At 42.6% G+C, this 10,500-nt stretch overlaps 1 protein-coding gene across 1 annotated transcript, besides 7 other annotated features; it reads right to left on the reverse strand.

Moving 5' to 3' along the window:
- Window positions 1-376: 376 nt before the first annotated feature.
- Window positions 377-7,970, reverse strand: SLC30A1 (solute carrier family 30 member 1). Its single transcript, NM_021194.3, has 2 exons — window positions 6,800-7,970; window positions 377-5,098 (listed from the first exon to the last, which is right to left on the reverse strand). Exons 1-2 carry the CDS (start codon window positions 7,419-7,421, stop codon window positions 4,197-4,199), a joined length of 1,524 nt encoding a protein of 507 aa, NP_067017.2. The 5' UTR covers window positions 7,422-7,970; the 3' UTR covers window positions 377-4,196.
- Window positions 6,600-6,949: a silencer, noted in NCBI's record as "silent region_1788". NCBI's record gives its function as "represses an Ori minimal core promoter by ATAC-STARR-seq in GM12878 lymphoblastoid cells {active_cell/tissue: GM12878}" and the evidence as "EXISTENCE:reporter gene assay evidence [ECO:0000049][PMID:35858748]".
- Window positions 7,060-7,169: an enhancer, noted in NCBI's record as "active region_2488". NCBI's record gives its function as "activates an Ori minimal core promoter by ATAC-STARR-seq in GM12878 lymphoblastoid cells {active_cell/tissue: GM12878}" and the evidence as "EXISTENCE:reporter gene assay evidence [ECO:0000049][PMID:35858748]".
- Window positions 7,060-8,559: a biological region, named in NCBI's record as "H3K27ac hESC enhancers GRCh37_chr1:211751675-211752176 and GRCh37_chr1:211752177-211752676".
- Window positions 7,142-7,643: an enhancer, noted in NCBI's record as "H3K27ac hESC enhancer chr1:211751675-211752176 (GRCh37/hg19 assembly coordinates)". NCBI's record gives its function as "activates a minimal SCP1, AML or CMV promoter by ChIP-STARR-seq in naive H9 embryonic stem cells {active_cell/tissue: H9 hESC(naive)}" and the evidence as "EXISTENCE:reporter gene assay evidence [ECO:0000049][PMID:30033119]".
- Window positions 7,450-7,759: a silencer, noted in NCBI's record as "silent region_1789". NCBI's record gives its function as "represses an Ori minimal core promoter by ATAC-STARR-seq in GM12878 lymphoblastoid cells {active_cell/tissue: GM12878}" and the evidence as "EXISTENCE:reporter gene assay evidence [ECO:0000049][PMID:35858748]".
- Window positions 7,644-8,143: an enhancer, noted in NCBI's record as "H3K27ac hESC enhancer chr1:211752177-211752676 (GRCh37/hg19 assembly coordinates)". NCBI's record gives its function as "activates a minimal SCP1, AML or CMV promoter by ChIP-STARR-seq in primed H9 embryonic stem cells {active_cell/tissue: H9 hESC(primed)}" and the evidence as "EXISTENCE:reporter gene assay evidence [ECO:0000049][PMID:30033119]".
- Window positions 8,000-8,559: a silencer, noted in NCBI's record as "silent region_1790". NCBI's record gives its function as "represses an Ori minimal core promoter by ATAC-STARR-seq in GM12878 lymphoblastoid cells {active_cell/tissue: GM12878}" and the evidence as "EXISTENCE:reporter gene assay evidence [ECO:0000049][PMID:35858748]".

Genomic DNA, 10,500 nt, shown 5'->3' on the forward strand with positions numbered 1-10,500 from the left:
TGCGTTAAGAATTTTAGATGATTTACAGGTGTAAAATATTTAATAAACCTTATTAGTAACTATGCTTATAAATAAAAAAATAGCAAGTGCCAAAAGCAGCAGGTTAACCACAACTATATAATCTATAAGCTTAATGCTTATAATAAAATTCAAAGCCACTGAGTATTTCATATTAGTGAGCCTTTGCAGTGTTACCCTTTCAATTTTTAATTGCAATTTTTGCTTACATTTTCTTCCACACCCATCTTGTAACCTAGTCACTCTGTACACTTGCAACATTTGTGTTAAACTGAAATTTCTCTTTCAATTATCTGAAATCCAACTCTCTGTGTAACTAAGCCTAGTATCGGAGGGGAGGCCATATGCACAAATGAAGTAGATATTAAAATTAGTTTATTTTTCTACTTAACTTTTAATAAATGAGAAGAAACACAGTAGTCTGTCTCATATAGAACATTTATAATACATAACAATCCATAAAGCCTCATGGTGAGGTAGGAACAGCTTTGGAAAATAACACACAGTCATGAAAACATACAAAAAGTTAGGTAAAATGTTGCAGCACTAAAGATATTTTATCTGCATCTGTATTTAATGAGATGATAACTGCATTTAACTGGCCCACATCTGGCCCAAAGGACAGGCAACAGAAGACACAAAACAACACAACATATAAGTTTCATAATCACAGAATATACTGATACACTTCATTGTGCTGTTTCAAGGCAGAACCATAACATGGCAATTTGTGTCTTTTTATATATATATATAACCACATATTAATTGTATGTTACATTCCCTCCAGCATCTTTTTGCCAAAGACACTGGACCATAAAATTTTTGGTTTAAAAGTTTAAATTGAATAACATACAAAAGGCTCTTGTGCCAGTGAAAATGACTGCTAAATATTCCAGAGCTTGTTAGTAAAACAAAATAGCATTACCACATAGTATCGGTAGAGCTACATCAAAATAGTGCTATTATAATCCCAATTTCAGAGACGTGAAACACTGTATGACACAGTTTCAATTTTAAAAATGACAAACAAAAAACCCCTACACCTTCCCAAGAGTTTTAACACTGTTTATGACTTAACTGAAACTCAGTATTAAAATAAATATTTTTATATTGTAGAATTACTCTCCATATTTGTGTGAACATCTTAAGACAGCAGGTTAATGACATTTTTATCATTCAAATGATATCTGCTTATACACAGTAAAAATCTTCAACTCAACACCAGTTAACATACGAAATACTTCACATTAGGTTCCATAGGTCTTTTCCCTCAAAACTGTCAAAAATTCAAAATTAACTTAAGGATGTTAATAAGACACAAACGGTTAACACAGCCTTCTACCTACTGTGATTTTCCAAGGTGCATTTGATGGACATTTTTCCTATTCAAGTTACATACCTTAGTTATTCAACATACTGTTCTCTAAAATGTTAAAACACATACAGCAAAGTTTTTGAGGATTCTGTTTTTTAGGTTTTAGTCCATAGTTTTACAATGCAGACATCCTTCAGAAAAAACTAAGCAATCATAAAAGCTAAAAGGTGACAATGGAGAATTAAATCTCTCATCACTAAGGCTGCATTTGGCTTGGAAAAATTTCTTGGTTTTAATTCAGGCACATGCAGCACCTCCTTTTCACTAAACTGAGACAACAGACAAGTTTCTAAACACATATTCTACACTGATCTTGCTCAAATATAAAAGAGCCAGCAGGAGAGATGCAACTCCTAAAACTGATGCAGTGTTATAAAATAGCATATTTAAATATTGGGTTTAAGTCTCCTAATAATTCAGAGTATTTCCCTCATTTTCTTTCAGAAAGGAATAAGCTATTTTGAGAAAGACACTTAAATCCTACAATATTTAAATACAAAAGCATGTCTTTTTTAAAAGATAATGCTAATATAGCTACAATGGGTTAGAAAGTGCATTGTAAAGAAATAAATAATTCTCTGCTAAAACTCAAAAGGTGAGTCAGTGCCCACTGTTTCTGCCGACAGTCATTTGAAAAAAGAAAATCCTATGGTACCACCATTATATATAAGCTACTTAAAAATTATGAAAAGTGAAATAACTCAAACCTAAAGGCTGTTATCTTCAAAGCACTTTTGAAAAACAAACAAACATAGCCCTTGTCCTATGCTTATATACCATTTTTTAAAATCCTCATTCAGTTGATGTCTTGTACTTAGGTGTCATGCCATCTTTAAGACACAGACCTCAAGTAGAGCATTTGTAAAGAAAACCTCATTGAATGTAATATATTTTATCAGTTATCTTTGTATCATTGCTGAAATGTTTATGTAACAAATTGATATCTGAATAAAATGTTCTGTAAAGTATTAAATCAGGAATGTACATGATACAGTACAATTCACAGCTTTCTCTTCTTGTTCGCCCAGATGAGATCCCTCAATTTCATGTTTAAAAAAAACCACCCAAACCTTTTCGCAAAATTCAAGGTAACTATCAGTTTAGGAATTGAATTACACAATATCAGATAAGAATATTAAAAGATCAAGATGTATTGCAAACTGGCAGGTTATGGTTTTGGCCCATTATAGTAAATGTGAACTTACAAACTGTGTTCCTAAAATTACCATATTTTCACTGGAAAAAATCAGCTGTTCTTAAATAGGCCCATCGCCAGCAATAGGCTTATACTAGGAAAAACACACACCACAAAAGATCATCCCTTTAAAAAGTAACTGTCAAATCCTAACACTTTTTCCTCTTACAACCCATTAAACAATGAACTATTTTAAATCCCAAAACGTAGCCATCCCAAAAGTAGTCAGCTATAAAAGTAGTCAGAATACCTTGTTTCTAGAAAAATAGAGCTATACATAACTGATGCTAATATTAATCCTTTCAAGGACAAAAATCTAATTTTGTCACAAAGCATACCCTCTATCAAGAAAAATATAACTTAAACACCCTTAAATATTTGTGTTGGATTTGAAATCTATAGCAATAATGAAATAGCCACAATTTTCTGTGTAGATATTGTGGCATCTTGCAAAATAAGCCACTATTGGAAGATCTGAGTATGTGAAGACAGGATGACTTACAAAATCTTAATTAATTTTGCTTTAATTATTAATTTTGCTAAGAATTTAATATCCAAACTGCATTAACCTTCTGGTTTTCTTTCCTCTCAAGTCAGTGACTCTTAGAAAGCACAAACATTGCTGGTTGTGCTCAAAAAGCTCCATTTAAATCCATTCATGATTGGTTATCATGAAATGACCTTGAAAATTTTTTTTCAAACGCCCGGTTTAAAAGATTACATTAATCGTTTGCGTTTAGCATGTAATTATTAGGTGTCAACATCCTTAAAAATACTTATATATTTTGTAAATAAACTTGCAGCTCAATGTTTTTATACCAATCTTTCAAAGAAAGTAATGCTGGTGAACATGTCCAAGTTTCAGATTAACTTTGGTAGAATAAAAAGTTGAAATTCTCAAAATAATTTAGAAATGTAGTCTCAATATTATCATACAATAACCTAAATATTTAGTTTGGTAAACTTTCTTCCTTGCTCTTACTACCCCATTTGCCCCATTGTGTGTAAACTGTAGTTCAATTTGTTAATTATCTTACTGTTTAATAGCCAGCAATACAGAATACAGGATAGTAACTGATCTTATTTCCTACTAATAGCCATGAGTCACTCTTAAAATATGCTGCCATTATGCTATGTAATGATCTCAAAGGGCAATATCACCTAAAATGTCAAAGGAAACAAACTGTTGATGATTTTAAAGTTCTATCAATTATAATTCTAATAAAGTATAACACTGGGGGAAAAGAAAAGCAGAGAAATTCCAGTAACAATTTTATTTATCCCCCTAATTTTTATCATGGGAAAAATCCAGAAATCAAATGTCATTATGTTATATAAGGTTTAACTTACTTTAAACAAAAATGTAACATAGTGTTAAAACTGGCTTTCCAAAACAGTCACAGCATAGCTGTACTCTGTACTAATAATCACAAAATTGTAATATAGAACTCTGTTATGCAGTCCCATTATGTTCTTACAAAAATAGAATTAAACTGTGTGACCAGACAAGGACTTCAATTACACTACTTGGCAAACTTAGAATTTCAGTGGAGTCTTTTTCCTCTTGCAGTTTAAAGCAAAAGTCAAATATCACATCTTTTTCAAGACTCACAAAGATGATTCAGGTTGTTTGTTTGGCATGTTTTTAATCTCTATCACAACAGCAGGGATGTTTTCAGCTTTAGTCCTCCTGGGCTTCTTCTCTAGATTGTTACTAAGTTCTAAACAAGAAATGCTAACTGCTGGGGTCTTTTCTGCATCCTTTCCAGAAGGGGCTTGTGGTAGTGTCCCACAACATTGCTTCAAAGCACACTGGGTTCTGCAGGCAAGTTCACACGGAACTACACTTGATTTAGAGCCTACACTAGCAAATTCAGGCTGAATGGTAGTAGCGTGAATTCCGTGATTATGAAAAACGTCTTTAATGGTTTTAGCCACCTCCATGTATGATGTTGGATCTTCACATTTTATGTGAGCAGTGGCAATGATTCTGCTTCCAGCAAGTTGCCAAACATGTAATTCATGAACTTCCTCAACTCCTTCAACATTTCGAAGTTCTTTTATCAAATTTCTGATATCAATTTGTTTAGGAACAGTTTGTAGAAGAATAAGAGCAGATTCCTTAAGTAATGGATAGGTTGTGTAAAGAAGTATACAAACCATTACAACACAAAGAGTTGGATCTAAATATAGCACCCAGCAAGGACCAGCCTCATAAACTGATGCATGAGTACTATTAATTATTTCTACAAATGCTTTGCAGGGGTCAGGGAAACATGGATTCACACAAAAATCCCCTTCAGAACAACCTTTCCAAGAAAAGTAAAAGACTAAGGCATTTACTACTACAATCACTGAACCCAAGGCATCTCCAAGGACATGCAGAAAAACTCCACGCATGTTAAGTTGTCCAGCCCTATCTTCTTCCAGTTCCATATGGTCAGGTTCTCTGACAAGATTTCCATTCACTTGTACTTCCACTGTATCACCACTTCTGGGGTTTTCTGGGTCTACAAAGAAATAAAAATTTTATATCAAATACATTTAAAGTGTTTATATAAACATCCTTGTCTAATTCTTTTTAAGTGGTGATGAAGGTGAAAATTTTTTCAGAAAGTACAATTAAAAAAATGTGCTCAGAGCAATTTAATATAAATTGACATTCTGGGAATGAGCCAGGACATAATAGCCAGGGCTAAATTAAGTCATTGTGATACTGCTTCTTCACCCTCCTAACCACTCTCCTGCCTCCTCCTCTCCAAAATAGTGTATATTTTCTATGGGGGTGGAGTCCTGCAACCATTCTGCTATACTTTATGGTATATACAAAGGAAAACATAAAATTGAATGCTAACACCAAAATTAAATGCAGCTAGGAATAAGTCTACTAATACAAAATACCTGATTTGACACTCGGGCACTCTCTAGTCACTCTTTGTCACTGAGGCCAATTGCTTGAGAATAAAACCAATTTTAACTTTTAAACTTTTATTATGAATATAAAAGTTTCTTGGTAGGGGGGTTTAAAAACTGACAAATCAACAATAAAAATCAATAATCACAGAGATTATTAGAAAAATTGAAACTAAATGACTACCTGCCCTACTAACTTTTAAATCAAAAGTATTGATCTTTTCAAAAAGTATTGATCAAAAGTATTCAAAAAGATAAAAAGTATTGATCTTTTGAAATTACACACCAGAGAAACTTAATTTTCTTTGGAATAACACCTTGCCGAGTGGAGTGAGAGGAAAACCAATTACTTATTAAACCTTTCCAATGTACAACTTGAATTTCACTAACTTCATATTCTGCACTCGAAAAGGAAAATTATGTAGCATAATTTATAATGATACAAGGTAAATAAACGTAAGTGAAGGAAATAAGACCAAATTGTTAAGCACCATTGAGCTTGGGTAGTAGGACACTGGTTGAGTCATTTCCATCTCCTTTCTTTCAACATTTATTTTCAAATTTCCTTCAAGAGCACTTAATGTTAAATATAAAAAGCATCCACTAAAAATATAAGATGAATAAATTACCATCACTTTTAGTTCAGTACGATTATGAAAAGTCCTGGGAAAATGTTAAACATGCCCAGACAGGTCCTAAATCTATGATTTCCAGGATTAGGGATCAATTAGCTGAAGCATACACTGCTGTTCATAAAAGAAACCTTTAACCAGGGTTTACACGCTCTGAATGCATATTATGAAACGGAGTTCAATGGGCATAAGAACTACTTTGGCAGAGCAAGGTTTCCAGCACCCAACTACTGGGGACGAATTGGGGATTCTCTCCGTTTCCCAAGAGGGCCAAGGAATTGAATTGGGAAGCATTTCTGACGCTGTTATAACCATAACCAGACAAGTCTCCAGCAAAGTTGCTGCAGCCTGTAAAGACAGCCAAGTGCGGGTGTGGACTGCAGCGGGATGATGATCACCTCCTGACCCTTTTTCTTAGGGTCTGACCCACAGCCCCCACCTACAAATATGCCAGACGCGTCGCCGGCTCCTTGCACCCGACTGAGGGGGTTCTGATTTCCTGGAGCAGCAGCGGGGCGTGTGCAGGACGGGGAGGGAGCAGGCAGGGGCGGCGCGGCGCAGGCCCGCTCGGGCAGCAGGGGGCGTGCGGGCCACCCCGCCGAAGGCCAGGCGAGGCTCTGGGCACCCCAAACCCAACCACCTGCGGCAGCGACTTTCCCGGCTCACCTGCGGGGTCCAATTTCAGCCCGTTGGAGTTGCTGGTATTGGCCACCAGGGTGTTGGTCTCCTCCTGGTCGGGACCCTGCTCGCCCGGGGCCACGTTGATGTCGCTGCTCCCGGGGCGGGTGCTCTTAACGCGAGGCCCCTTGGGGAGGCCGTGGCCGTGGCCGTGACCCCCGTGCGAGTGGCCGTGGCCGGAGTCCTGGCTGAAGCCGCTGTGATGGTGGAAGAGGCAGAGCCCCAGCACGTTGACCAGCAGCCCGGCCACGCCGACCCCAAGGACCACCAGCGGCTGCTGCATCTCGTGCGGCTCGATGAAGCGCTCGATGGCCTCCAGCAGGATGGCGAAACAGAGGCCAGTCAGGAAGATGGCGTTCACCAGAGCCCCCATTACCTCGGCTCGGATCCAGCCGAACGTGTTCTTCTGGGTGGCGTGGGTCCGCCGGGCGAAGCGCTCGGCCACCAGCGCCACCACCAGCGCCAGCACGTCCGACAGCATGTGGAAGGAGTCGGAGAGCATCGCCAGCGACGAGGTCACCCGGCTCACCACCACCTCCAGCACCATGAACATGAAGGTCAGCGCCAGCATGCACAGCAGCCGGCCCCGGTTCCGACCCCAACACCCCATGGCTGCGGCTGCGGGGCCCGCCGAGCCCGGCCCGGAGACTGGTGCAGCGGCGGCGTTGGCGGGACGCGGAGGGTCGGCGACCGCGACACGGAGGAGCGCCCGAGTCGGGCCGTTCGGGAAACCGCTGAGGGGCCCCCGCGGCCGCACGGGGACAAGCCCGGGTCAAGCCGCCGAGCCCCGCGCCTGTGGGCGTTCTCCGCCAGCCGGCGGCGCCGCGCCGCGCAGCTCCTCAGGCGTCCGTCCTCAGAGCCGGCGCCGAGGCCCGGCTCAGCCTCAGCAGCCCCCACACCCAGGCGGCGGCGGTGGCGGGGAGCTGGGCTCCCGGAGCCGGGGTACCAAGAGCCGCAGCCGGAGCAGGAGCAGGAGGGCGGCGGGCGAGGGCGGCAGGAGAGGGCGACGGGCAGCTTCGCGCCGAGAAAGCTCCGAGCATCTGAGGGCTCTGCTTGCTGGTCTCCTCTGCGGCGGCTGGACTGAGGAGCGGATGGCTGAGGAGCTAGAGAGGCGGCGGCCACGGCAGCTGCACTCGGCCCGGTCTCGGGCGCCTTCTTCGCCCCCCCGCCTTTGCAGACGGTTTACAAAAAAACTTTGCTTTGCACTCGGAACCCCCGTTTTCACACGGACCCGAGCGTGACAAGGCCTTGCCGCCCCGCCCACCAGGCCCGGCACGCTTCCCCATTGGTCAGGACCCCCTCACGACAGCCTCGGCGTCCCGCCCAGCCACGCTCACTATTGGATGGAGCCTCGGAGGGGCGGGAAGGGGGCGGGGTCGCGGCTCCAACAGATAGGGGCGGGGCCTTTTCCTCCCGGAGCCGGGCGTGGGCCGGGGGGCCGTGGCCGGGTGCAGCGGCGGGCGAATTGGGGGCGCGGGCCGCGTGCAGCGGGAGGGGGAGGGGCTGGCCGGGTCCCCTCGGGTGTGGCGGAGTCCTGGCCTGCGGACCATCGCAACTCCCAGCACACCTGCGGGGGCCGGGCTGCAAAGTCTGCAAACAGACTTTGATCCTCCGAGCCCAGTCCACGTGGGGGCGGGCCGCGCGGCGGCTGTGTGACAGCTCGGCGGCGGGGGAGGGGCCGGAGGGGAGCCCCTGAGCGCGGGGCCCTCGAGTACTCGGTCCTGTCGGAGGAGGCCGACAGACGCATAAACAAGTGCGACTGTAACTTGGGACTCTGCTGGACGCCGAGCTGAGGAGTTAGTCCTCCCGAAGGTCTGCTAGGGGCGTGGACCGAATCTTTGTACATGTTTTGGGAAAGCCAGTTTCTCCTATCACCATCAACCCCTGGAGACCTTGTGTGAACTCAGGTGTCTGTCACTGATTATCTAAGGACAGTTCAGGGTACAGACTTCAGGCAGGAGAAACCTGGGCTCTGCTCCTTGCCTTGTCAATAGCCAGCTGTGTGGCTTTGAGCAAGTCACCTAATCTCTCTAGACCTGTTTCCCCATCTATAAAGGACTGGACAAATGCAACTCTGAAGATCCCCGTCTGACTCCAAAATTCTAAGGCTCTATGATTTAACATTTATTTATAGACTACACACGGTGGAATCTTGTGCTGGTTGCTATGGGGAGGTGGAGGGGCAGTAAGAATACAAAGGAACGAGTTTCTGTCCAGGTGGAGGTAAAATATAAACACGACATTTTAAAATTACGATGGAATACTCTTGATAAATTGTGCTATTTTAGACTGAATACATAAGCACTGTGTTGTGGGTGGAGATGAGTTGATCTGGAAAGGAACAGCTTGCCCATCTAAGGTGGGGTGGTGGCTGGAATCAGAGTGGCTTAAGCTGGACCTGAAAGGCCTCACCACAGCCCCTGCGCAGCAGAAGGACCTCCCCACCCACTGCCCTAGATTACTACTGGACAAATGCAGTGCCAGCTATTGCCTGGAGATGTGTATACAAGGCTTGTTTGGAGCTGTTATTTTGCATTGTTTTGGTATTCTTGTAATTCCTATGAAATTTTTTTCACTTGTATGTAGTGTGTTTCTAGTCTCCCCATCCAGACTGGAGAGCTGGATCCTCACCTTCTGTTTCTGTTTTGCTGGAATATAAAGAATGGAGGAAAATTTTCAAGACATTATTAAGGAAAAAATGATAGAATTTGATGATTAATTGGGTATTGGGAAGGAGGAAGCTAGGTAGGAGAACAAAGATAGTTATAATGTTTCTAACCTGACAAGGAAAATACTGCCTTAAACAGGTGAGGAAGTTGGGAAGGGAGGCCAAGAAGCTGATTTTTAGGAGAAAATATGAACTCCATTTTTAATGTGCTTAATTTGAAGTGAAGTCTGGGTTTGGGCAGTGCTAAAGGGTGGATTAATGGGTTTAGGACTTCCATAACTTCCTCTCCTTTGATATGGATGAGTGACAGTTTTCTGATCATCTGTAAACACAGCTTCAAACATCCTATCAACTAGCCCCTCATATACAGAAATTCGGAAGCCACTTATGGGTCAAGATATCCTCATGGAAATGGCCTAGAGGCAGTTTGAAGACCATTTTGCTTTCTACTAAGGGCTGCTGTGCCTCGCTTTATTTAAAAAATACATTCCTCCAAATGCGAAGATTTGATACCCAAAGAAGAACCAATAAGAAGATGTAAAAGTCAGTGATGCTTGCAAACACAATAGCAATCCTTCAATAACTAAACAGACTAAATTGGGAGATTTTTAGACCCATATAAAAACAGGTTCAACTCATAGCCGCTTCTGAAAACCTACTTTGTGCCTGCATTTCAGCCATTTCCCAGACAATGTGCTTTATTCCCTCCTGGTGGGTGGTTGGGGGCGGGGCAGAGGGGGCAGGGAGTACATTTTCCAGGTTCTAGAGAAGTTATAATCATGTTCTCTGGAGAGAGTAATATTTACCACACAGCAGAACACTTCAGTCAGACTTTGTTTCCCTCTAACATTGTGTAGGCAAAAGACTTTGGTACCTCAACTCGAGCTTTTTCCCTTTTCATCTGGTTGTCCTAGTAGAGTGTCAACACAGGCAGGAATAGATTAAAATGAAGGGACACTATACTGTTATTCACCAACACCCCTGGAGGCTGTGGCCCTGGGTTGAGTAAGACGGCTTGGCT

Source organism: Homo sapiens, chromosome 1, assembly GCF_000001405.40.
Source record: "Homo sapiens chromosome 1, GRCh38.p14 Primary Assembly".
Taxonomy (NCBI): domain Eukaryota; kingdom Metazoa; phylum Chordata; class Mammalia; order Primates; family Hominidae; genus Homo; species Homo sapiens.